This window comes from Homo sapiens, chromosome 16 (assembly GCF_000001405.40).
Source record: "Homo sapiens chromosome 16, GRCh38.p14 Primary Assembly".
In the NCBI taxonomy this organism is placed as follows: domain Eukaryota; kingdom Metazoa; phylum Chordata; class Mammalia; order Primates; family Hominidae; genus Homo; species Homo sapiens.
In genome coordinates this window covers 30,601,401-30,628,285 of record NC_000016.10, presented here as the reverse complement: position 1 = coordinate 30,628,285, position 26,885 = coordinate 30,601,401, and the positions used below count along the sequence as shown (strand labels likewise).

Genomic DNA, 26,885 nt, shown 5'->3' with positions numbered 1-26,885 from the left:
ATGGGATTACAGGCATGAGCCACCGTGCCTGGCTGAGACTCTACTTTCAATTCTTTTGCCTAGTACCTGGAATTGCCAGATCATATCGTAATTCTGTGTTTCTGCTTTTACTTTTTTGAGAAACTACTATATTGTTTTCCACAATAGCTGCACCATTTTTGCATTCCCATCAACAGTGCACAAGAGTTTCAATTTCTCCACATTATCATCAGCACTTATTTCTGAGTGTTAATAGTTCTTTTTTTTTTTTTTTAAGACGGAGTCTTGCTCTGTCACCGAGGCTGGAGTGCAGTGGTGTGATCTCGGCTCACTGCAACCTCCACCTCCCGGGTTCGAGCAATTCTCCTAACTCAGCCTCCTGAGTAGCTGGGATTACAGGTGCCGGCCACCACGCCCGGCTAATTTTTGTATTTTTAGTAGAGACGGGGTTTCACCATGTTGGCCAGGCCAGTCTCAAACTCCTGACCTTGTGATCCGCCCGCCTCGGCCTCCCAAAGTGTTGGGATTACAGGCATGAGCCACGGTACCTGGCTTGATGTTTCTAATAGTTGCCATTATAATGAAGGTGAGGAAAGTATATATTTTTGAATATTGACCACAGCCTCACCCTAATCATCCCTGCTGAAAACAATTGCTTTATTAATTTGTTTGTTTGTTTTATTTGAGAGACAGGGTCTCCCTTAGTTGCCCAGGCTGGAATGCAGTGGCACAGTCATAGCCCATTGTAGCCTCAAACCTTTGGGCTCAAGTGATCCCTCTCAGCCTCCTGAGTAGCTGGGAATACAGGCGCACGCCACCACGCCCTATTGCTTTATTTTTTATATTTTTGAGATGGAGTCTTGCTCTGTCGCTCAGGCTGGAGTGCAGTGGTGCGATCTCGGCTCACTGCAACCTCTACCTCCTGGGTTCAAGTGATTCTCCTGCCTCAGCCTCCTGAGTAGCTGGGATTACAGGCACACGCCACCATGCCTGGCTAATTTTTATATTTTTAGTAGAAACGGAGTTTCACCATGTTAGTCAGGCTGGTCTCAAACTCCTGACCTCGTGATCTGCCCACCTTGGCCTCCCAAAGTGTTGGGATTACAGGCATGAGCTACCATGCCCGGCCTATCATATTCCCTTCTACACAGGCATAAGCAATCTGACAAATGATATCTCTGTTTGTTGCACACACGATCATCCTGTATTTGGATGTGTTGTATTTATTTTTATCCTTTATCACCAAGCATTTCCGAGCATAGTAATGTGGTTTTACCCTCTTGTTGTCTTCTAAATTTCACTTGGTATCTCTTAAAGTAGGCCTTATTCTTTTTTCCTTCTTTCTTCCTTTTTTTTTTTTTTTCTGAGACATGCAAGCTGGAGTGGGCATGGAAGTGCAGTAGCGCCATCTCGGCTCCCTGCAACCTTTGTGTCCCAGGCTCATGCAATTCTTCTGCCTCAGCCTCCTGAGTAGCTGGAATTACAGACGTGTGCCACCACACCTGGCTAATTTTTATATTTTTAGTAGACATGGGATTTCGCCATGTTGGCTAGGCTGGTCTTGAACCCCTGGCCTCAAGCAATCCACTGCCTCAGCCTCCCAAAGTGCTAGGATTAAGGTGTGAGCCACTGTGACTAGCCTGAATTTTGGCTTTGAATACCCTAAGCTTAGAAGATCTGTGTGCTCCTCCTGGCTGGCCTCAGAGGGGCCAGAGTTCACCGAGCCAGGTTTGTGGGCCTGCCCTTATTTCTCATGGCGTAGCTTGACATTAGAAGCTTCCCAGAACTTTCTGTATGTAAATAATTTGGTGACTTGGCATTTAGGATGGAAACAGCTGTTTCTGGGGTTCTGTTGAGATATCAGTTTTTTGAGAAATCTGTTTCCATGGCAATGCCCACATTTACGTTTTTGTTTGTTCGTTTGTTTTGAGACCAGAGTCTCACTCTGTTGCCTAGGCTGGAGTGCAGTGGCACAATCTCGGCTCACTGCAACTTCCGCCTCCTGGGTTCAAGCGATTCTCCTGCCTCAGCCTCCTGAGTAGATGCGATTACCACCACGCCTGGCTAATTTTTCTATATTTTTAGTAAAGGCAGGGTTTTACCATGTTGGTCAGGCTGGTCTCGAACTCCTGACCTCGTGATCCGCCCACCTCGGCCTCCCAAAGTGCTAGGATTACAAGCGTGAGCCACCACGCCCGGCCTTTTTTTTTTTTTTTTTTTTTTGAGATGGCGTCTCACTCCCATTGCACAGGCTGGAGTACAGTGGTGCCATCTCAGCTCACTGCAACCTCCACCTCCCGGGTTCAAGTAACTCTCCTTCCTCAGCCTCCCGAGTAGTTGGGATTACAGGTGTGTGCCACCATGCCCTGCTAATTTTTTTGTATTTTTAGTAGACATGGAGTTTCACCATGCTGGTCTCGAACTCCTGACCTCAGGTGATTCACCCGCCTCAGCCTCCCAAAGTGCTAGGTTTACAGGCGTGAGCCACCGCGCCTGGTCTTTTTTTTTTTTTTTCGAGACAGAGTCTTGCTCTGTCACCCAGGCTGGAGTGCAGTGGCATGTTCTCAGCTCACTGCAACTTCCATCTCCCGGGTTCAAGGGATTCTCCTGCCTCAGCCTCCCAAGTAGCTGGGATTATAGGCACCCGCCACCATGCTGGGCTGATTTCTTTTTTTTTTTTTTGAGATGGAGTCTCGCTCTGTACCCTAGGCTGGAGTGCAGTGGCGTGATCTCCACTCACTACAAGCTCCGCCTCCTGGGTTCACACCATTCTCCTGCCTCAGCCTCCCGAGTAGCTGGGACTACAGGCGCCTGCCACCATGCCTGGCTATTTTTAAAAATATTTTTAGTGGAGACGGGGTTTCACCATGTTAGCCAGGATGGTCTTGATCTCCTGAATTCGTGATCCACCCGCCTCAGCCTCCCAAAGTGCTGGGATTACAGGCGTGAGCCACCGCGCCTGGCTGCCAGGCTGATTTTTGTATTTTTAGTAGAGACGGGGTTTCACCAGGTTGGCCGGGATGGTCTCCAATTCCAGGGTTCCAGTAAGTTGAGCTGCCATGCCCAGACCACCTTATAATTCTTAGTTCCAATTATCTTGTCTCTGCAAAACAAGAATAAGAAAGAACAGAAGGAAGAAATGATGGCCAAAAGCGAAACAAGAAAAAAGAAGAGAATTAAAAAATAAACTTAAAAAAATGCAAAGGAAAAAATAGAAACAACAACCAAACAAACAAATAATAAATAAATGGGGGTCAATGGCCGGGCGCGGTGGCTCACGCCTGTAATCTCAGCACTTTGGGAGGCCGAGACGGGCAGATCACGAGGTCAGGAGATCGAGTCCATCCTGGCTAGCACGGTGAAACCCCGTCTCTACTAAAAATACAGAAAATTAGCCGGCCTTGTGGCGGGCACCTGTAGTCCCAGCTACTGGGGAGGCTGAGGCAGGAGAATGGCGTGAACCTGGGAGGCGGAGCTTGCAGTGAGCCGAGATCACGCCACTGCACTCCAGCCTGGGCGACAGAGCAAGACTCTGTCTTAAAAAAAAGAAATGGGGGTCAAGAAACTGAATGTGGCCTGTGTGAGGAAGTGGTCAGTATGTCACAAGTAGCAGGACCCCTGGAGAAGCCAAAGGCCCTATCTGCAGGGCCTGTGGCCAGACATGGCCTGGGGGCTCCTCAACCATGAGGTGACAGTGCACTCAGGCTCCAGTGGCTTTGGCTCCCTCCTCTTCCTGGGCAGCCCCTCCAAATCCACTTGCTGGAGCAGCCCTTCCCTGTAACTGCCCACCCCCTCAAAGCAAGGGTCTGCTCCAGCATCCGCTCATTCATCCACAGAGATGAGACACCCTGCTGCTGCCCCCAGAGTGGCCACTGTGTTCGAACAAGTGGGGCTCTGGCCACCCACAGGCACACACATGAGGGAGAAGCCGTAGGCATGTCTTGACCGTGGGCAGCTCTTTGCCTCCATCTCACTGTTGGTCCAATACCAGGAAATCCACTCTGGTGACCGTCCCCATGTTTGTGTGTTGGAGGCCGAAAGAATGAGGGTTGTGACCAACTCAGTATACCACTGGAGGCTATATGAGCAAACAGCAAACTGTTCTCATGGATGCAGGATGTGGGCAAGCTGACAACTGCATCTGCCGCCAGAAGGAATGCTGAGGATGGTCATGCCGTAGGTGAAGTGTTCTTTGTGGTTATCTATAGGAACATCTGGAGCCTGTTGTATAAAGAAAGCAATTATGTGAGCCTGTGATAAATCAAGCAGCTGATCAACCGTTGCCTCGTCCTCCCTGTCGATTCTACCTAATAAATACGAAGGGCTGTAGAAGCTCAGGGCCCTTATTCCCTAGAAGCAAGGAGCCCCCTGACCCCTTCCTTAAAACAGATCCTTTTGTCTTTGTCTTCATTTCTGCGTTTGTCCTCCTTCATTCAGTCCCAAACCAACAGCCACAAGTGGTGCCTAATCAGGGACGTGAAGGAAGAAGATCTGCTGGAGCAGAGAAACTGAAACTGACCAGATGAGTGAGAAACCCCAGGACAAATCTGCTGGCAGAGGATATAAGGTCAGTGCCCTAAAGAGATACTGGGAGTGGGAAGTTTGTGAATCAGGGTAACGTGGGGCAGAATTTGTCAACTGAGGAGCAACATTATGTGCAGTTGCTTAAAGTTTTACTTAAACAATCTGGTGCTCAGGTTAGTTCTCAAACACTAAGCTGCTGCAGGAGGTTGTTATGCATAACCCATGGTTTCCACAGACAGGCATCTCGATGCGGAAAATTGGGACAGTGTAGGGGAAGGATTAAAACAGGCTTATCAAAAAGGTCTTAAAGTTGATCCTTCTGTTTTGACTTTATTCCATACTGTCCTCCTGCCATTGTCTCCTTCTTATTCTGCCGGACAGCAGGAGCCATGTTCTGAATCTCAAATTTCAAAAGAATCTTTTGTCCCTCCAACAGCGCCCATTGAAATAATAAACAGGAGAGGGAGGATGAAAATTGGCCTGTACCGCCCCCTCCAGTAGTGGACACACGTGTACTGTCTCCTTCAGTAACAGAAATAGAGACCCCAAAACAAAGAATTCTACGCTCTGCTGCCATAGCTGGAGAGCCCTTCGAACCTTGTGCTTTTCCTATTTCTATAAGGCTGGATCCAAATAATCCACAGCAGTTTATTCATGAACACACCCCACTAGAGTTTAAGTTGTTGAAGGAATTAAAAGCTCATGTACTGAATAATGGAGTACAGAGCCCATTTACTTTAGGATTGCTAGAATCTGTATTTGGTGCTATGCGCCTTCCACCCTTTGATGTAAAGCATTTGGCCTGCACTTGTTTGTCTGCTAGTTCATACCTGACATGGAATTTAAATTGGCAAGAACTGTGTGCAGACCAGGCTAGACAGAATCGTGCTGCTGGACACAGGGACATTACAGAGGATATGCTGTTGGGTAATGGCCCTTATTCAGACCTGCAACATCAAATGGCACTCCCAGAAGCTGCTTATCAGCAGTGTGCACTGGCCGCTAAACACACGTTGGCCACAATTCCAGAGGAAGGGGGTCCCAATACAATCTTTTTTACGTGCCATGCAAGGGTTGCAGGAGCCCTCTGCACATTTTCTTGCATGATTACTAGAGGCAGTGAGGTGTCAGATTCCTCATACCGCGGCTGCAGAGATGCTAACTTTAACTTTAGCTTTTGAGAATGCAAATGAGGATTGTAAACGTGCACTGGCTTCTGTAAGATGTACAAAAAACTTAGGAAATTTTCTCAAAGCCTGTCAAAATGTGGGAACTGAGCTTCATCGCTCTACAATGTTAGCTCAAGCAACGGCTAATTTATTAGTGGCCAAATCTAGAAAGGGCCAAGGGTCAAACTCTAAAAGGGGAAAATGTTATAATTGTGGAAAAATCAGACGTTTCAAAAAGGAGTGCCATCAGACCTCTGGGCAGAAGGGATCTTATAATGCAGTACCCTACCCCCAACAGAAAAAAACGCCAGGACTTTGCCCTCATTGCAATAAAGGAAATCATTGGGCTAATCAATGCCATTCACAATTTCATCAGAATGGGACCGCCCACATTGGGAAATGAGAAGGGGGCCTGGACCCAGGCCCCTCAAACAATGAGGGCATTCCCCATCCAGGCCACAACCCGACTTCAGGGGTGGATCTCCGGAGGAACATTGATTCCCTCTCCCCAGGAACACCTGGAAGCGCAGGAATAGCTCTCCCAGTCAGAGAATGGGTTACGTTAGTCAGAGGAGACAAAAACCACTAAAATTCCCACTGGCATTTGGAGTCCTTTGCCAACAGGATATATGGGATTAATTTTGGGTAGAAGCCGTCTCAACTTACAGGGCATTACTATAGTCCCAGGAATTGACTCTGATCATGAAGGAGAAATTCAAGTAGTGGTAATGTCACAAGATCTGTGGGTTTTTGAACCAGGAGAATATACAACTACTGCCTATTGCCTGCAAATTACCCTTCTCCACATAAGGAGAAATGAGGGAATCAAGGATTTGGGAGTACAACCAGAAGGGAAATTTACCCCAAACGATAGCTTCTAATCGACCCACCTGTACAGTGCAAATTAAAGGAAAAAAGTTCTATGGGCTTATGGATATGGGAGCTGATGTGTCAGTAATATCTAAAAACAATTGGCCCCCATCCTGGCCCCTGCAATTAACTTCTACATCCTTAGTGGGAGTAGGAAAAGTTCAAAGTGTTCAACAGAGTGCTGAGATTTTACCCGTCTCAGACCAGATGGACAGTCGTGTACTTTTCAACCTTATGTTGCAAATATAGCTGTTAACCTATGGGGCCAAGATTTACTTACAGCACAGGATATGAGACTTACAAATGAAACTATTGACAATCCAGGATTTAAAATGTTAAAGAAAATGGGATATCAGAACGGAAAAGGCTTAGGAAAGTCCCAACAGGGAAACCCTGATCCTATATCAATAACTGGGCAAACAGATAGAAAAGGGCTAGGTCGTCAGGATTTCTGACAGGGGTCATTAATATTTCTCCTCCACCCAATGCTTTGCCGCTAGGGTGGCTGACTGACAAGCCTGTATGGGTGGATCAATGGCCCCTATCACAGGAGAAACTAACTCAACTCCATCAGCTAGTAAAAGAGCAACTGGATGCAAGACATATTGAAGAGTCAGTCCCTGGAATTCATCAGTATTTGTAATTCCAAAAAAGTTAGGAAAATGTTTCCTACTGTTTCATGATCTGACAGCTATTAATGCACAGATTAAACCAATGTGTGCATTACAGCAAGGTCTGCCATCCCCGGCAGTGATTCCAAGAGACTGGCCTCTTGTAGTAATAGATCTTAAAGACTGTTTTTTTTGTTGTTGTTGTTATTATACTATTACATGAGCAGGATAGGCCTCGATTTGCCTTCTCTGTGCCTTCTGTTAATCAAAAAGAGCCTGTCTCTCATTATCAATGGAAAGTTATACCCCAAGGCATGCTCAACAGTCCTATGTTATGTCAGCATTTTGCAGGACAGACATTAAAGCGGCCTTGGAATATGTTTCCCACTGCCTACATCATTCATTATATGGATGATATTCTTTTGGCTGCTTCTACAGATTAAATTTTACATCAGTTATTCAGAGAAATAAAACGGGCTTTGACTAAATGGAATCTCAAAGTAGCTCCAGAAAAGGTGCAAACAACCTCCCCATACCAGTACTTAGGCACTATTGTTACTGAAAGAAGTGTTTGGCCTCAAAAAGTAGCTCTCCGTAAGGACAGATTACAAATTCTGAACGATTTCCAACAATTATTAGGGGATATTAACTGGCTGCACCCAATGCTAGGTATTGCTACTTATTAACTCAAACAGCTTTACCAGACCCTCCAAGGAGACTCTTCATTAAGCTCTCCTCTGCAACTTATTAAGGAGGCAGAAGCTGAGTTACAGCTTGTAGAGCAGGTGCTTCAGCAACGACATGCCTCCTGGCTACAGCCACAAAAGGCTTTGCTTCTGTTTATTCTTCCTACCCTCCATTCTCCAACAAGACCTTTAGGCCAATTCATAGACAAATCTGTAGTAGTATTAGAATGGCTTTTTTAAAAATCCAATCAGACAGTGAAATCTTTGCAAGTTTGTCTTTAATTACTCAACTTATAACAATAGGTAGGCAGAGATCAAAAATACTTATGGGATATTATCCAGAAAAAAATTATTGTTCCCTTGGATTCCCAACAACAGGCAGCAGCATGGGAAATGTTGACTGCATGGCAAATTGCTCTCACAGATTTTGTAGAAATAATAGTTAACCGTTATCTATCAGACAAAATTTTGCAATTTGATAAAGCTCACCCTTTTATCCTTCCTGTGATTACTCATCACAAGCCTACTCCAGGCGGACAGACTTATTTCACTGATGGCTCTTCCAAAGGCCGAGCAGCTATTTATGGACCTAAGCATACTCAAACAATAAAGACCTCTGGAGTTTCAGCTCAATGCTCAGAACTAATGGCAGTTATTCAGGTTTTACAGCTCACCGCTTCATCTCCTATTAACATTGTCTGTGATTCAGCCTATGTTGTGAATGTAGCCAGTCGCATTGAAACTGCCACTATTAAAAGCAGCCTAGAACCAGAGCTGTTTAACTTATTTCTAAGACTTCAACAAGCTATTTTCTCTCGTGCTGTTCCTTTTGATATTTCTCATATCCACTCTCACACACAACTCCCTAGACCACTATCTCTAGGTAATGATGGAGCAGATAAACTGATCAGTTCTGTATTTCAACAAGCCCAAGTTTCTCATGCATTATTGCATCAAAACACCTCTGCCCTTACTCGTATGTTTCATCTGCCTCGCAGCCAGGCTCCAGCTATTGTGCAAGCCTGCCCTACTTGCCAGCATGTCCCTGGTGTTGCACCCATGGAAGGATGCAACCCATGAGGCTTGGCTCCAAATGAAATCTGGCAGATGGATGTTACACATATAGCAGCCTTTGGCACACTCAGCTATGTTCATGTGACTATAGACACCTACTCTCATATGTTACATGCCACATGTCAAACAGGGGAAATGGCTGTCCGTGTCTGACGACATTGTTTGTGATTATTCGCCCATATGGGGGTTCCTAAACAATTAAAAACTGACAATGGATCTGCTTATGTTAGTCATGCTTTTCAAAATTTTTACAGTTATGGGCAATCACTCATAAAACAGGAATTCCTCATAACCCTCGAGGACAAGGAATCATAGAGCAGGCACATCAAACATTACAATGTATGTTGAAAAAACAAAAAGGGGGAATAGGAGACCAACTAACCACCTGAAACAAAATTACATTTAGCCTTATTTACTTTAAATTTTTTGACTCCTGGTACAGATAGTAAGACTCTGGCGGAATGACACGGGCAAATGTTAGAAGGAAAGAGGAAAGTTTATCCAAAGCTATTATGGAAATCCCCAGAAGAAGGACAATGGAAAGGCCCAGTGGATTTACTGACATGGGGACGAGGATATGCTTGTGTTTTTTGTTGTTGTTGTTGGTTTTTTTTTTTTTTTTGAGACAGAGTCTCGCTCTGTCACCCAGGCTGGAGTGCAGTGGCATGATCTCAGCTCACTGCAAGCTCCGCCTCCTGGGTTCATGCCATTCTCCTGCCTCAGCCTCTCCGAGTAGCTGGGACTACAGGCACCCGCCACAACGCCAGGCTAATTTTTTGTATTTTCAGTAGAGATGGGGTTTCACTGTGGTCTCGATCTCCTGACCTCGTGATCTGCCTGCCTCGGCCTCCCAAAGTGCTGGGATTACAAGCATGAGCCACCACACCCAGCCTATGCTTGTGTTCTTACAGGAGATGGACAAACCGTGCGGGTGCCCTCTAGGTGTGTGCGACCATGGAATGGGGGACTGGAGGGATCTGTGGATCCCAACCATGCGTCCGGTTCCCCCAGTATGAGCCATGAGCCAGTGGAATCTGAATGCGAAGACAGAATGGGGGCCAACCGGAGTCACAATGACATCAACCCCCATAACATGGGGACAGATCAAGAAAACCACACAGGAAGTTGAAAAACTGCTGGAGCGCCAGGGTCAGGCAAAAACCCCAGACTCCATGTTTATGGCCATGCTAGCTGTAATATCCTGTGAGGTATGTTTTCCCTGTGCAGAGGCAAAAACATATTGGGCATATGTTCCTAACCCACTGGTAGTGTGACCATACTCTGGAACGACACTCCTCCTGAGATATATCATGATCAAGGAGCATAGGCACCAGGACCCCTAATCTCCCCTGACACAGAGCAATTAGACTCTCAGAACAATGGTATCAATTATACCACTCCATTGGAGGAACTTCCTTTATGCGTCACCCAGGATACCTCACTCAACTGCAGTTGCCTTGCAATTCAATCCCAAGCATGGCTGAGTTACCATGGAAATATTATGTACCTATTAGGCCTTAGCTCTATTAATATTACTGGTGTGGTTACTAATCACTCCCGGCCCCATCGCCCAAATTGTATTGATTATACAGAATGGGCTCCCTTTGATAATTCTCACCCCTCTCCTTGGGCCCACTGTCTTGGCCCCTTAGCTAGACAACAGTCCATGTTAATGGGAGACATTATTGACTGGGGTCCCCGTGGTCATTTAGATGGGAGAGATGAGAATCAGACCTCACGGCATAAGCTTCACTAGCACTGGTGGCAAAACTTTAACATCTCTTCACTACATCACACTGGGATTCAATCCCAATCTGTCACGTAACTTGCTTGGCACGGAATGGGCTTTAGCCCACCTTTGCCTCAATGGCATTATCAAGGAAAGAGAGGTCCAATTAGGAGTCGATATGGAAGGCACTCCCGTTTATGAATGGCAGCATTTGGGTTGGGACACTACCCAATAATAGTAATAGTGCTCAACACAGTTTTAATGTTACCTTTATAGAAAATATTACCACTCAATTTACAATTTGTGTTTTTTTTGTTTTTTTGAGACAGAGTCTTGCACTGTTGCCCAGGCTGGAGTGCAGTGGTGCGATCTCAGCTCACTGCAAGCTCTGCCTCCCGGGTTCACGCCATTCTCCTGCCTCAGCCTCCCAAGTAGCTGGGACTACAGGCACCCGCCACCACGCCCGGCTAATTTTTTTATATTTTTAGTAGAGACGGGATTTCACCCTGTTAGCCAGGATGGTCTCGATCTCCTGAACTCGTGATCTGCCCGTCTTGGCCTCCCAAAGTGCTGGGATTACAGGCGTGAGACACCGCGCCCAGCCTACAATTTGTGTTTTTAATCCCTATGTCTTTCTAGCAGCAAAAAAGGACCAACTCCAGGTAAACGATGCCCAATTGGCTTGTGATTCCTGTCAGCTGTATAATTGCCTTAATCATAGCACAATACAAACACACAGCATATCCACCCTAATAATTCTAGGTCGCATTCCCGGATTATGGATTCCTGTAAATCTGTCCAAGCCTTGGGCCCCTGCTTTGCATTTTGTAAAACTCCTTATTACTCAGCTTACTCATCGTGCTCGTAGAGCCTTAGGCATGATAATTTTTGCTATAGTATCCTTAGTCACATTAATAACCTCTGTTGTGGTGTCCTCCGTAGCACTGCATAACTCCATTTAAATAGCTCAATATGTAGAAAATTGGACGTGTATAGCCAACCAGGCATGGATGCTTCAAAATAAAATTAACACCGAGATACAAACAGAAGGGATAATGTTAAAGACTACTGTTCTGTGGCTAGGAGAACAAGTACAAAGCTTGCAGTTGCAGCAGCAATTGCATTGTCATTTTAACCATACTCATATTTGTGTAACCAATTTGGAATACAATCAAAGTGAATATCCATGGAACCTTGTAAAGGCCCATTTACAGGGAACTTTTTACATCCAGTGTTATTTTTGATATTAATGATTTACAAAGTAAAATCCTTAACTTGAATAAGCAAACTCAAGCATTTCAGCCCTCTTTAAAATATTGGGCAGAATTCCAGCAACTTTTAGAGAGCCTTAACCCTTGGACCTACTTCAAACAGCACCTCAGTGTCTTTTGTGTAATTATTGGAAAAATGTTATTATGTTTCTGCTTTTTGTTCACAGTCTGTAAAATCAGCTGGACCACCAGCTGGCAATTGAGAGCTGCACAGCCTGCAATTACCTTTATTCAACTAATGCAAAAACAGAAAGGGGGAGATGTTGGAGGCCAAAAGAATGAGGGTCGTGACCAACTCAGTATACCACTGGAGGCTATATGAGCAAACAGCAAACTGTTCTCATGAATGCAGGATGTTGGCAAGCTGACAACTGCGTCTGCCACCAGAAGGAATGCTGAGGACAGTCACACACCAGGTGCAGTTGTTCCTTGTAGTTATCTATAGGAACATCTGGAGCCTGTTGTATAAAGAAAGCAATTATGTGAGCCTGTGCTAAATCAAGCAGCTGACCAACTACTACCTCTTAGTCCCTGTTGATTCTACCTAATAAATATGAAGGGCTGTAGAAGCTCAGGGCCCTTATTCCCTAGAAGCAAGGAGCCCCCGACACTTTCTTTAAAACAGATCCTTTTCTTTGTCTCCATTTCTGCGTTCGTCCTCCTTTGTTCAGTCCCGAACCGACAGCCACATTTGTGGGTCATGCAGTGTCTAATTCTCCCAGAGAGCTCACCTGGTCCAGCACCAGCTGCCCCCACACAGGGGACGAGCTCTGCAAGGGCTCCGACTGCAGCCACCTCTTCCACCTGAGGAGGGCGCTGTCCACGCACATATGCGGATGTGTGCACAGATGTGGGTGCCAGTTTGCATTCCCCTCCCTTGTGGCCACCACCAGGCACATGCACTTGGGTGAGCACTGCCACCACTGCCTACAGTGTGGCACTCCCCTTGCTGACTGGGAAACTTGCTCCAGCACCAGCTTATCCATGCAGGAGAGAAGCCCTACTGGTGCTTTGACTGTGTGTGGTGCGTGCACCAAAGAGGCTCCCTTGGCCATTCATAGGCACACGCATACAGGTGAGAAGCCTCAGTCCTGCTCTGAGTGTGGCATCTGCTTCTCCTGCTAAAAAAAAGAAAAAAAGAAATAAAAGCTTGGCTTTTCCCTTTTTAGATGGAGTCTCACTTTGTCCCCTAGGCTGGAGTGCAGTGATGTGATCTCAGCTCACTGCAACCTCTGCCTCCCATGTCCAAGCGATTCTCCTGCCTCAGCCTCCCAAGTAGCTGGGATTACAGGCATGTGCCACCACACCCGCCTAATTTTTTTGTATTTAGTAGAGAGGGAGTTTCACCATGTTGGTCAGGCTGGTCTTGAACTCCTGACCTCAGGTGATTTGCCCTCCTCAGCCTCCCAAAGTGCTGGGATTATAGGCACGAACCATCGTGCCTGGCCTGACTTTTCTTTTCTTTTTTGAGATGGAGTTTCACTCTTGTTGCCCAGGCTGGAGTGCAATGGTGCAATCTGGGCTCACTGCAACCTCAGCCTCCCCGGTTCAAGCGATTCTCCTGCCTCAGCCTCCTAAGTAGCTGGGATTACAGGCATGCACCACCACTCTCGGCTAATTTTTTGTATTTAGTAGAGACAGGGTTTCACCATGTGGGTCAGGCTGGTCTTGAACTCCTGACCTCAGGCAATCCACCCGCCTCAGCCTCCTGAAGTGCTGGGATGGATTACAGGTGTGAGCCACCACGCCCAGCTGACCTGACTTTTCTTAACAGATTCATGCAGCCCAGGTTTTTTGTTTGTTTGTTTGTTTTTGTTCTATTCATTTAAACACAGAGTCTCAATCTGTTGACCACGCTGGAGCGCAGTGGTGTAATAATCATAGTTAACTGCAGCCTTGAACTCTTGGGCTCAAGTCATCCTCTCGCCTTAGCCTCCCAAAGGGCTGGGACTACAGGCATGAGCCACCATGCCCACACGCCCAGCCACAATTAGGAGGCTAGAGCTCCCGCCTTTTTTTTTTGTTGTTGTTGTTGTTTTTGTTTTTTGAGACAGGATCTCATTCTTTCGCCCAGGCTGGAGTGCAGTGGTGCAATCTTGGCTACTGTAGCCTTGACCTCCCAAGTCTCAATCGATCCCCCCACCTCAGCTTCCCAAGTAGCTGGGACTATAAGTGCCCGACACCATGCCTAGTTAATTTTTGTATTTTTTGTAGAGAAAGGGTTTTGCCATGGTGGCCAGGCTGGTCTTGAACTCCTGGGCTCAAGCAATCCCCCCACCTCGGCCTCCCAAAGTGCTGGGATTATAGGTGTGAGCCACCACACCTAGCCTGTAACTGTAGTTTTTTTTCCACCACCTCTGTTCAAACATCTCCTTCCTCTGAATATCTCACTGCTGCCTCCTCATCCTCCTCCTCCTTCTTCTTTCTTCTCCTTCCTCTTTTTTTTTTTTTTTTTTGAGACGAGTCTCGCTCGGTCGAAAGCTCCGCCTCCCGGGTTCACGCCATTCTCCTGCCTCAGCCTCCTGAGTAGCTGGGACTACAGAAGCCCACCACCATGCCTGGCTAATTTTTTATATTTTTAGTAGAGACGGGGTTTCACCGTGTTAGCCAGGATGGTCTTGATCTCCTGACCTAGTGATCTGCCCGCCTCGGCCTCCCAAAGTGCTGGGATTACAGGCGTGAGCCACCAAGCCCAGCCTTTTTTTTTTTTTTTTTTTTTGAGACTTAGTCTTACTCTGTCACCCAGGCTGGAGTGCAGTGGCACCATCTTGGATCACTGCAACCTCCGCCTTCCAGTTTCAAACAATTCTCTTCGGCTGGGCCTGGTGGCTCATGTCTGTAATCCCAGCACTTTGGGAGGTCGAGGCGGACAGATCAGCTGAGGTCAGGAGTTCAAGACCAGCCTGACCAACATGAAGAAACCCCATCTCTACTAAAAATACAAAATTAGCTGGGTGTAGTGGCGCATGCCTGTAATCCCAGCTACTCGGGAGGCTGAGGCAGGAGAATCGTTTGAATCCGGGAGGCGGAGGTTGTGGTGAGCCGAGATTGCTCCATTGCACTCAGCCTGGGGAACAAGAGCAAAACTCCGTCTCAAAACAAAACAAAACAAAACAAAACAGAAAACAATTCTCATGCCTCAGCCTCCCAAGTAGCAGGGACTATAGGCATGTGCCACCAAGCCCGGCTAATTTTTGTATTTTTAGTAGAGACAGGGTTTTGCCATGTTGGCCAGGCTGGTCTTGAACTCCTGGCCTCACGTGATCCACCCACCTCGGCCTCCCAAACTGCTGGGATTACAGGTGTGAGCCACTGCTCCCGGCCTCATTGCCTTCTAATTTTGTGACTTTTCCTGCCACATTGTTTGTCTTTATTCCTTGAAAGCTTTGAGGTTAGTGTTTTGCCCATAGTATATGCTTTACAATATTGATTAAAGGGTTAGAGAGATAGATGTGCATGTCACTAGCTAAGAGACATGGCAAATGGTGTATTCTCCTGCTCGCAGGACCCTTGGGGGTGGCATTGAGCTGGTGAAACTCTGCAGTATAACACATACATAGAAGTAGGGGCTAGGGCGGGCGTGGTGGCTCATGCCTGTAATCCCAGCACTTTGGGAGGCAGAGGTGGTTGGATCATGAGGTCAGGAGTTCGAGACCAGCCTGGCCAAGATGGTGAAATCCCGTCTCTACTAAAAATACAAAAATTAGCCGAGCAAAGTGGCGGGTGCCTGTAATCTCAGCTACTCGGGAGGCTGAGGCAGGAGAATCACTTGAACCCGGGAGGCCAAGGTTGCAGTGAGCCGAGTTTGCACCACTGCACTCTAGCCTGGGCAACAGAGCAAGACTCCGTCTAAAAAAAAAAAAAAAAAGGGCTGGGCACAGTGGCTCACGCCTGTAATCCCAGCACTTTGGGAGGCTGAGACGGGTGGATCACGAGGTCAGGAGATCAAGACCATCCTGGCTAACATGGTGAAACCCCGTCTCTACTAAAAATACAAAAAATTAGCTGGGCGTGGTGGCGGGCGCCTGTAGTCCCAGCTACCCGGGAGGCTGAGGCAGGAGAATGGCGTGAGCCCGGGAGGCGGAGCTTGCAGTGAGCCGAGATGGCGCCACTGCCCTCCAGCCTGGGTGACAGAGCGAGACTCCGTCTCAAAAAAAAAAAAAAAAAAAAAATGTGGAGGCTAATGGGGTGGGTGCTGGCTTGTTCCATCAGCAATTTTCAGTTCAGTGCCTTTCACATACATGCTTGTATCATTCTGTTATGATTCATTGTGAATTTATATGCTTTACTAGACTGTAAGCTCCATTCAAAGCATGGCCTATGACTTATTTATGTACGCTCTCCCAATTGCCTAGCACTATGCTTTGTACGTTGAACAAATGTCACGTGAAAATAATGTAGGGAGATTATGCAGAATATTGAACTTGAGAAGAAAACAAGAGCTCAGGTGGATTCCTGGTTTAGCAAGCAAATTAGGATACTGTGAAGGAAGGATGCCTATCAGTGGTATGAATAAAGGCTCTGTCTGCCCCAGGTTTAAATCTTTATTCCCCACTCCTTACTAGCAGTATGGCCCTGGAAACTCATGGAATCCCTCTGAGATCGTTTCTTCATTAGTAGAACCAGGATGATAACCATTGGTTCACAAAATGCTAGTAAAGAATTAATAACGGGCTGGGTGTGGTGGCTCACTCCTGTAATCCCAGCACTTTGGGAGACCGAGGTGGGCGGATTGCTTGAGCTCAGGAGTTCGAGACCAGCCTGGGAAACATGGCGAAACACCGTCTCTACCAAAAATACAAAAAATTAGCAGAGCACTGTGGGTGCATGCCTTCACTCCAGCCTGGGCAACGGAATGAGACCCAGTCTCAAAAAAAAAAAGCGAATAACTAATGGCTCCGGTGCTGTGGCTTATGCCAGTAATCCCAGCCCTTTGGGAGGACGAGGCAGGAGGATCACTTAGCCTAAGGGTTCGAGACCAGCCTGGGCAACACAGGGAAACCCTGACTCAACAAATAACATAAAAAATTAGCCAGGCGTGGTAGTGCACACCAGTAGTCCCAGTTACTCTGAAGGCTGAGGCAGGACGATTGCTTGAGCCCAGGAGTTAGAGGCTGCAGTGAGCTGAGATTGCACTACTGCATTCCATCCCGCCCGGGTAACAGAGTGAGACCCTGTCTCAAAAAAATAAAAATAAGGCCGGGCATAGTGGCTCACGCCTGTAATCCTAGCACTTCGTGGGGCCGAGGTGGGTGAATCACTTGAGGTCAGAAGTTCGAGACCAGCCTGGCTAACATGGTGAAACCCCATCTCTGCTAATAAATATGAATATTAGTCAGGAGTGGTGGCACGCGCCTGTAATCTCACTTACTCGGGAGGCTGAGGCAGGAGAATCGCTTGAACGTGGGAGGTGGAAGCTGCAGTGAGCCGAGATTTCGCCACTGCACTCCAGCCTGGGCGACAGAGCACGACTCTGTCTCAAAAATAAATAAATAAAATAAAAATAAAAAATAATAAAGATGAAATATGTAATATGCTGGGCATGGCGCCTGCCCCCAGGAAATGCTAACCATAATTCCCTCCCCTAAAGGGCAAACAAAGAAGATAACCATTCTCCAAAGTCAAGGATGCTCTGAGAACACCAGTAAAAGGAACTCAGGATAATCTCAGCTCTAACTCGGCCAGAGTGGCTCCATCGCTCAAATCGTTCCCTCCTTCAGTGATTGGCTGAGCCTGCCAGAGTCGAACAGCGGAAAGCAGCCCCGGGGCCTCTTGCTGCCCCCAGGTCGGTGCAAGTCGCTTCACAACTCCTTGTAGTCGCCTGATCCTAGCAGTCCAGCTTCCTGCCCTTATGCAGCTCTTGGCTTCGTTCAAACGGACCGCCTTTGCTAGCACCCAATCAGAACGCTCGATCTTCGGCTCTCGTCCAATGAACGCGCGTATTGGGGAGGGGAAAAAAGACGGCGTGAAGCCCAATCGCAGCGCCATTACACTTGAGGGCAAAGAGGTTAGGAAGCCGGCATGGCGCTCCGGTCAATAAAATCGATAGCTGGAAGCTGCCTGTGTTCCAGGCAAAGGCGGTGCGGTAGCAGCGCCGCCATTTTCCCCGAAGGCATCTTCCGGTGCCTTTCACCCAAGTTCGGGCAGGAGTTTCCTGAATAACAGCAAAAGGTTTCCGTTAGCCCCGCGGGCGACCAATTCCGATTCCCTCCGGGCCTCCCCGGCCACGCTCAGCCCTGGTCCGGCAGGGGCTCCTCGATCCCAGGGGCCGCCAGCGCCCGAGGGCCGAGGCCTGGACACGGAAGGCCGTGGCGCCGGCTTCTCGGGTCCCATGGCGCCACCTTCGGCTCCGCTCCCTGCGCAGGGACCAGGAAAGGCCAGACCCAGTCGGAAAAGGGGCAGGAGGCCGAGGGCTCTGAAGTTCGTGGACGTGGCCGTGTACTTCTCCCCGGAGGAGTGGGGCTGCCTGCGGCCCGCGCAGAGGGCCCTGTACCGGGACGTGATGCGGGAGACCTACGGTCACCTGGGCGCGCTCGGTGAGGCCGGCCCCATCCGCTGCCGCGGGGCGCGAAGGGATGCAGGAGCCGGAGAGGGTGTAGGCAGGGAGGCCACGGTCCTGGCAGGCGACCAGGTTGTCAGGGGAGGTGGGCAGGGGCTTAGCAGGAGGTGCCGTCGGGGAGATACTACTCGGCGTGATCTAGGAGCTGGCCTTCTGATTTGTTCTCTTTCCCCAGGGTGCGCAGGTCCCAAACCAGCCCTCATCTCCTGGTTGGAACGAAACACCGATGACTGGGAACCGGCTGCTCTAGATCCGCAGGAGTACCCGAGAGGGCTAACAGTCCAGAGAAGTGAGTGCTAAATAACCACGCAGAGCCTGCAGCCCTCCTATAACGTTCTACCTCTAACGGCTCTGTCCAGAGTTTTGGTTGGGCTAGGGGTGGGTGCCGCGTATTTAGTATATTCATCTTCCCAGCCTCTTGTGTCTGGTGGTGTGGGGCCGGTCCACCACACAGAGATTCCTATGTCAGTCTGCAAGCTGCAGTTTTCCACTGTGTGAATGAATCAGTGGGCTTATTCTTCGTCTTTTTTTTTTTTTTTTTTTTTTGTAGAAACATTGTCTTGCTCAGTTCGGTCTTGAACTTCTGGCCTCAAGCGATCCTCCTGCCTTGGCCTCCCAAAATGCAGGGGTTACTGGCGTGAGCCATTGCAGCCAGCCAGAATCAGTGAGCTTTTAACAGGTGCTACCCTCTGCCTCCTTTCCAGGATCTCTGCCTCTAGCCACCTTTGAGTTGGACCAAAGAGATCCTAAACTTCTCAGAGTTTTCTGGGTTTTGGTTGAAGGGAGCTCATGGGGAACAGCTGCCTGGGATGCAGGGGCCTCTTTCTGCTCTTACGGCAGGATGACCCTTATCAGCGAAGGACATACTGCAATCTCCTCAGAATCCAACAAGGCTCTGCTTAACCCCATTCAGGTAGAAGGGTCCCAGATCCACCCATAGTAGAAGATGGAGCTGTCTGGGCTGGAATTTCAGAGCCAGATTCTTCAAGACCAGGGATAGCTGTCCAAGATTCAGATCTGACCATGATATTTCCTTGCTTAAAACTTTTCAGTTAATTTTTGCCAAGGTTGTTAAATGGCCATTGGTTATATCTAAATCACTTGGGGAACTTGGTAAAAACGCAGGTTCCAGGACCCCATCCCAGAGCTATTCATTCACTCGTGTGAATGTTTAGGAACTTCCATTTTTTAAATAGCCTCAGCTGATTCAGATGTGCATCTAGGTTTGAAAACCGGCCGGCTGGTGGCTCATGCCTGTAATCCCAGCACTTTGGGAGGCCGAGGTGGGTAGATCACTTGAGGTCCGGAGTTCAAGACCAGCCTGACCAACATCGTGAAACCCCGTCTCTACTAAAAAAATACAAAAATTAGCCGGGCACTATGGTGGGCGCCTGTAATTCCAGCTACTCAGGAGGCTGAGGCAGGGAGAATTGCTTGATCCTGGGAGGTGGAAGTTACAGTGAGCCGAGATCATGCCAGTGTACTCCAGCCTGGGTGCCACAGTGAGACTCCATCTTGGGGGAAAAAAAAAAAGAAAAGAAAACCATTGGGTAAAATACAGTCCAAGGTCTTTAACAATGCTAACAGCAGTGGTTCTCAAAGCGTGGTCTCAGACCAGAAGCAGCATTATTTGGAAACTTGTTAGAAATGCACATTCTTGGACCCTACCCCAGACCTGCTGAATCCAAAGCGGGCACTAGGGCCTGGCATTCTGTTTCAGTAAATCCTCCCAATGATTCTGATCACAGTGGAGTTTGAGAACCATTGGCTTAGAGGGCCTTTTGACCCAGTCACTGCTAGCTCATACCTCATAGGTTTCCATATCTTGCCTTACACTCTTTTGTGTGTGTGTGAGACGGAGTCTTGCTCTGTTGCCCAGGCAGGAGTGCAGTGGCACGATCTCAGCTCACTGTAACCTCTTGCTCCCGGTTTCAAGCAATTCTCCTGTCTCAGCCTCTGGAGTAGGTGGGACTACAGGTGCCCACGATCACACCCGGCTAATTTTTAGTAGAGACAGGGTTTCTCCATATTGGTCAAGCTGGTCTCGAACTCCTGACCTCAGGTGATCCGCCTGCCTTGGCCTTCCAAAGTGCTGGGATTGCAGGTGTAAGCCACCGCGCCCAGCCTGTCTTGCTTTTACACTTTGTGTCTAAGAAGATCTTAGGGCCTGTGCACACTGTACACTGAGCCTTGGGACTTATGTTTCTTTTCTTTTTTTTTTTTGAGACGGAGTTTTGCTCTTCCACCCAGGCTGGAGTGTAGTAGTGCAATCTTGGCTCACTGCAACCTTTGCCTTCCGGTTTCAAGTAATCATCTTGACTCAGTTTCCCAAGTAGCTGGGATTACAGGCGCCCGCCAGCATGCACGGCTAATTTTTGTATTTTTAGTAGAGACGGGGTTTCACCATGTTGGCCAGGCTGGTCTCGAACTCCTGACCTCACAGTCCGCCCACCTTGGCCTCCCAAAGTGCTGGGATTATAGGAATGAGCCACTGCGCTTGGCTGGGACTTACGTTTCTAACACTGCATAATTTTAATTCTTTTTTTTTTTTTTTTTTTTTTTTTTGAGATGGAGTCTCACTCTGTCATGCAGGCTGGAGTGCAATGGCGTGATCTTGGCTCACTGCAACCTCCGCCTCCCAGGATCAAGTGATTCTCCCACCTCAGCCTCTGGGTAGCTGGGATTATAGGCACCTGCTATTGTGCCCAGCTAATTTTTATATTTTTGTAGAGACGGGGTTTCACCATGTTGGCCAGGCTGGTCTTGAACTCCTGACCTCAGGTGATCCGCCTGCCTCAGCCTCCTAAAGTGCTAGGATTACAGACATGAGCCACCACGCCCAGCCACATTTTTTAAAGAATCAGCTAAGTCAAATAAACCATCCACAATGGAATTCTGTGTAGCTGTAAAATAGAAAAAAGATTTGCTGACATAAAATGATCTTTAGAATATATTAAGTGAAAAAATGTAAAGTGTGTATAAGGTGTGTATATGTTGTCTTTTGTATAAGAAAGGTGAGCTGGGCATGGTGGCTCACGCCTGTAGTCACTTTGGGAGATAGAGGTGAGCAGATAACCTGAGGTCAGGAGTTCGAGACCAACCTGGCCAACATGGTGAAACCCTGACTCTACTAAAAATACAAAAAATTAGCTGGGCATAGTGGTGCATGCCTGTAATCCCAGCTACTTAGGAGGCTGAGGCAGGGAGAATCACTTGAACCCGGGAGGCGGAGATTTCAGTGAACTGAGATCACACCATTGCACTCCAGCCTGGGTGACAGAGCGTGACTCTGTCTCAAAAAAGAAAAAAAAAAAGAAAGGTGGGGAAGAGAACATACGCTGTAAAGCATGTGTATGCAATCTCTTATGAAAGAAAGATAGGGAAGGTGACATTTGTATTGCATCAAAAAAATGGGAAAAAACTAATATGGTTTCTACAAGGTAGATTGGAAAAAGGTGGCAGCAAGACTTCTCTGTATTCCTTTATTAATATTTTGACTTGTTTGTTTTTTGAGATAGGGTCTTGCTGTGTTGCCCAGGCTGGAGTACAGTGGTGCCATCATGGTTCACAGTAGCCTTGAACTCCTGGGCTCAAGTAATCCTCTACCTCAGCCTTCCAAGTAGCTAGGACTACAGGCAGGCACGCGTGCCACCAGGCCAGGCTAATATTTGTATTTTTTGTAGAGATGGGGTCTCACTATGCTGCCCAGGCTGATCTTGAACTCCTGGGTTCAAGCGATCTCTTGCCTTGGGCTCCCAAAGTGCTGGGATTACAGGCATGAGCAACCATGCCTGGCTGATATTTTGACTTTTGAATGATGTAAGCTTACCTCTTCAAAAATATTCCTTTTTTTTTTTTTTTTGAGATGGAATCTCGCTCTCTCGCCCAGGTTGGAGTGCAGTGGCACAATCTCGGCTCACTGCAACCTCTGCCTCCCGGGCGATTCTCCTGCCTCAGCCTTCTGGGTAGCTGGGATTACAGGTGCGTGCCACCACGCCCGGCTAATTTTTGTATTTTTAGTAGAAACAGGGTTTCACCATGTTGGTCAGGCTGCTCTCAAACTCCTGACCTTGTGATCTGCCCGCCTCGGCCTCCCAGTGCTTACGATTACAAGCGTGATCCACTGTGCCCGGCCTCAATTTTTAAAGTTAGTTTAATCTCCGAGAAATCTTCCTAGACTTCTCCAAGCTGGGTTAGAAGCTCCTGTAATGCACACCGTATTTGCATGACAGTATGTCACACTTAGCTGTCTGTGGCACTAGGAATTGAGACCAGGGGGTGAGTCTATTGGTCTTGTAACCTATAATGTAATTGACAAGAGCAGGAGCCCAGTATTTGTTAAATTAATGCTTCTGTATTTCTATAGAAAGCAGAACCAGAAAGAAGAATGGGGAGAAGGAAGTATTCCCGCCTAAGGAGGCACCCCGAAAGGGGAAGCGAGGCCGGAGGCCCAGCAAACCCCGACTGATTCCTAGGCAGACGTCCGGGGGCCCCATCTGCCCTGACTGCGGCTGTACCTTCCCTGATCATCAGGCCCTGGAGAGCCACAAGTGCGCCCAGAATCTAAAAAAGCCTTACCCTTGCCCAGACTGTGGGCGCCGCTTTTCCTATCCATCCCTGCTGGTCAGTCACCGGCGGGCACACTCCGGCGAGTGCCCCTATGTTTGTGACCAGTGTGGCAAACGTTTCTCCCAGCGCAAGAACCTCTCCCAGCACCAGGTCATCCATACAGGGGAGAAGCCCTATCACTGCCCTGACTGTGGTCGCTGCTTCCGGAGGAGCCGGTCCTTGGCCAATCACCGGACCACACACACAGGTGAAAAACCCCACCAGTGCCCTAGCTGTGGACGTCGCTTCGCCTACCCCTCCCTGCTAGCCATCCACCAGCGTACACACACGGGAGAGAAGCCCTACACTTGCCTCGAGTGCAACCGCCGCTTCCGCCAGCGCACGGCCCTCGTCATCCACCAGCGCATCCACACGGGCGAGAAGCCCTACCCGTGCCCGGACTGCGAGCGGCGCTTCTCCTCCTCCTCTCGCCTGGTCAGTCACCGGCGTGTGCACTCTGGGGAGCGTCCCTATGCCTGCGAGCACTGTGAGGCCCGCTTCTCCCAGCGCAGCACGCTGCTCCAGCACCAGCTCTTGCACACCGGAGAGAAGCCCTACCCCTGCCCAGACTGTGGGCGTGCCTTCCGGCGGAGCGGCTCCCTGGCCATCCATCGCAGCACGCACACAGAGGAGAAGCTGCACGCCTGCGACGACTGTGGTCGCCGCTTTGCCTACCCCTCACTGCTGGCCAGCCACCGGCGCGTGCACTCGGGCGAGCGGCCCTATGCCTGCGACCTTTGCTCCAAGCGTTTTGCTCAGTGGAGCCACCTGGCCCAGCACCAGCTGCTGCACACGGGGGAGAAGCCTTTCCCCTGCCTCGAGTGTGGCCGGTGCTTCCGCCAGAGGTGGTCTCTGGCTGTCCACAAGTGTAGCCCCAAGGCCCCAAACTGTAGCCCTAGATCTGCTATCGGGGGCTCCAGTCAGAGGGGCAACGCCCATTAGAAGGGGAAGGACTGCCTACGTTCATTTCATTTTATGGAGGGTCCCAGAAAAGGGAAGGAGGAGCCCCAGGTCATACAGGGCAGAGTCAGAACTAAACCCGGGTCTCCTGCTGCACAGAGCTGAACTTTGTATCTTGCAATGCGCTGGCTGCCTCCCTGTGCGTGTCTGGAACAGTCCCATTAGGAGAGGTGACGTCATTTGCTTAAAGTTTTCCAAGCTACCCTATCCTAAAATAGTTTGTGTGGATATCAGGGCTAAAAGTTCTCCCCATCTATTTTAGGGGCTGTCTGCTTTTCTAGTCTGTCCACACAGGGATTACCTGTCATCTTGCATGCAATCAGGAGAATCTCATAGGGGCAGGACCTTCCCCTACTCTGCCTCTTCCTCCATACTAGGTTGGAAAAATCTGGTTTAGCCCACTTTTTGCAACACTCCTGCCAAGTGGTCTTCTACCCATTGCTTGAAAATCTCTCTTGACAGGGAGCTCACTACCTCACAAGGCAGGTCATTTCATTGTGGGATCTATAGAAGGTTAAGTACCACATTCTCCTCTAAACCTTGCCTACGACATGTTTAATACTTCATCTACATAGCAGCCCTTCAGATAATCACAACCACTTTGCCCCCAAGTTTTCAGGTTAAGTAGCATGAATTTGGTCATTCCTTAAAGACAGGGTTTCAATTTCCACACATGATCTCTGCAAACAGGCACTGGGTTTTCAGTGTCCTTTTTGAAGGGTCATATAAAAATAAGGTAACACCACAGTGCCACTACACCTTCTGGGGCTGGACTTGTTTCAGCAGCTTTGGTTGCACTGAATTTGGGGGAGCTGCATGGTACCAGGGGTTTATTGGGTTGCAGATATATAAATGCCCTAAACTTAAAAAAAAAAAAAAAAGCTATAAAACTAAGTCTTCATCTTGTATTTGGAAAATTGGTTCAAGCTGGGTATGAGACATAAGTGTAGTCAGCTCTGGGAGAAGGTTGCTCTTAAGGAGAAGCAGGGACCTGTGGTTTAGCAGCAGGAAGTGCAAATGGGACTGGCTTGTGCTCTACCTGGCAGACCTGGATTGGCTTCAGGCAGCCAGTGCCTGGAAAAGCCTGGAGAATTGGGCCGTACTTGACCCTGATTCTCATCAGGCACAGATGAATCACAGGCACCTAAGAATCGGCACAGAACTTCCATGAGGCCTCAGTCAGCATTTTTTCACAAAATGAGCTGAGGCCATTCAAGGAGGCTAGAAAGAGGGAACTGAATCCAGAGAGGAAGAGTCTATAGTCATCAAGTTGTATCCATGCCAGCCTCCCTCCACAGAGGTGGCAGCAGCGTGGCTCAATCTGATCCACCTCCATGGCACCCACTGGGTAGGTGCTTCATAAAGCTTTACCGAGTTAAATGTGAACAAGGCCTACCACTTTGCCTTGGGCAGCTGCACCAAATTAGAATTTCCAGATGTGACTCATCTCATATTCCAACAGCTGGAGTGGGTCATCCTTTACCCCTGTGGCTCCTTCCTACAGCTCTCCTGATCTCAGCACAAGCAGGGGAGCAGCTGGGGGAACACAGCTTTATGTAATTACCTCTGTTCAATATTTAGCAAGTTGCATTGTAACATTGTAACTGTTTGTTTCTCCTTGGATGATGAGCTACCCCCAAGAAGGGGTCATATCAGATTGGGTCTCATTAAAATGTCTGATGAATGAATTCTGTTCCTTGTGGAATTACTTTTTACAAAATATCAATCTGGTTCCTTGACTCTGTAGCAATCTTTGCTATTCTGATGGGAGAGCCAGACTTTCAGACCAGGAGACCTGTCCTGCCCAGCAGAGCCCTATTACCAGGTCTGCCCAGCCCCCTGGTAGAGCTGGCTCTTTCCCCTTCCCTTTGCCACCAGAACGCAAGGATTTCCTCAGCTAGGAATTGTATAACTTTCTTTGGGACTGGATTGTAATTCATAAAACTTGGTAGCCACTGATGGCTAAATTCCATTATGTGGTCTGTGGAGAGCAGAAATGGGAGATAACCTCCTATGTTCCCTGAAGCACTTCAATCCACCCGAGCTGGGATCCTGGTTCCTTATTCAGTGAGAGATCCTAGCATCCTTCCAATAACTTCCCCTTTCCGCTTAAGGTGGTTTGAGTTTCTGTTATTTGCAATCAAAAGAATGAACTAATACACAGCCTCAGTCTGGGTTAATCTCCCATCTGCCTCCATGCCTAGATATGAGCTGTGAGGAAAAACACTGCATTGCTGCTGAGAGGGGCCACGATACCTTTCCTGACCTTCAACCTCAGTAGAACCTTCAATATTATGTCTTCTGGGCTGGGTGCAGTGGCTCATGCCTGTAATCTCAGCACTTTGAGAGGCCAAGGCGGGAGGATTGTTTGACCTGGGAGTTTGAGACCAGCCCGGGCAATATAGCAAGACTTAAAAAGCAACAACAGTAATAAGACAATATTATGTCTTCCATATATATATATATATATAGAATTAAAGTTAGATATAAACTAATAGTTTATATACAAATGTATAAATATAAATATAAATAAATAAGTACATAAATACTCTGGTAGTCCAGAGCAGGACCACCCTATAGGCAGTGTGCCCAGAGAAGCATTCCATATATATATATATATTTTTTTTTTTTTTTTGAGATGGAGTCTTGCTTTGTCGCCCAGGCTGGAATGCAGTGGCGTGATCTCAGCTCACTGCAACCTCCTCCTCCTGGGTTCAAGTGATTCTCCTGCCTCAGCCTCCCTGGTAGCTGGGACTACAGGTGCCTGCCACCACACCCGGCTGATCTTTGGTATTTTTAGTTGAGACAGGATTTCACCATGTTAGCCAGGATGGTCTCGATCTCC

The 26,885-nt window shown here is 48.2% G+C and overlaps 1 protein-coding gene and 1 long non-coding RNA gene across 6 annotated transcripts, besides 3 other annotated features; one reads left to right on the top strand and one right to left on the bottom strand.

Annotated features, from left to right (window-relative positions):
- Positions 1-12,112: 12,112 nt before the first annotated feature.
- LOC124903678 (uncharacterized) lies at positions 12,113-17,812 on the bottom strand. The gene is made up of 2 exons (XR_007065051.1): positions 17,523-17,812; positions 12,113-13,034 (listed from the first exon to the last, which is right to left on the bottom strand). It is a non-coding gene; the product is annotated as an uncharacterized LOC124903678 (long non-coding RNA).
- Positions 12,427-12,667: a silencer, noted in NCBI's record as "fragment chr16:30626940-30627180 (GRCh37/hg19 assembly coordinates)". NCBI's record gives its function as "represses an EF-1alpha promoter that drives an FKBP-Casp9 reporter gene in an ReSE screen in K562 erythroleukemia cells {active_cell/tissue: K562}" and the evidence as "EXISTENCE:reporter gene assay evidence [ECO:0000049][PMID:32094911]".
- Positions 16,901-17,870: an enhancer, noted in NCBI's record as "NANOG-H3K27ac-H3K4me1 hESC enhancer chr16:30621737-30622706 (GRCh37/hg19 assembly coordinates)". NCBI's record gives its function as "activates a minimal SCP1, AML or CMV promoter by ChIP-STARR-seq in naive H9 embryonic stem cells {active_cell/tissue: H9 hESC(naive)}" and the evidence as "EXISTENCE:reporter gene assay evidence [ECO:0000049][PMID:30033119]".
- ZNF689 (zinc finger protein 689) lies at positions 17,511-25,728 on the top strand. 5 transcript variants are annotated; one of them, NR_073481.2, is made up of 3 exons: positions 17,511-17,698; positions 18,648-18,761; positions 22,839-25,728. NR_073481.2 is itself a non-coding variant. In NM_138447.3 (3 exons), the coding sequence occupies exons 1-3, from the start codon at positions 18,245-18,247 to the stop codon at positions 24,020-24,022; spliced, it is 1,503 nt and encodes a 500-aa protein (NP_612456.1). In that variant the 5' UTR covers positions 17,897-18,244; the 3' UTR covers positions 24,023-25,728. The 5 variants fall into 5 exon arrangements, 1 of the variants encoding a protein (NP_612456.1); NR_073482.1 differs by lacking the exon at positions 17,511-17,698 and adding an exon at positions 17,853-17,920; NR_073480.2 differs by lacking the exon at positions 17,511-17,698 and adding an exon at positions 17,897-18,084.
- Positions 18,158-18,207: a silencer, noted in NCBI's record as "silent region_7381". NCBI's record gives its function as "represses an Ori minimal core promoter by ATAC-STARR-seq in GM12878 lymphoblastoid cells {active_cell/tissue: GM12878}" and the evidence as "EXISTENCE:reporter gene assay evidence [ECO:0000049][PMID:35858748]".
- Positions 25,729-26,885: the final 1,157 nt, after the last annotated feature.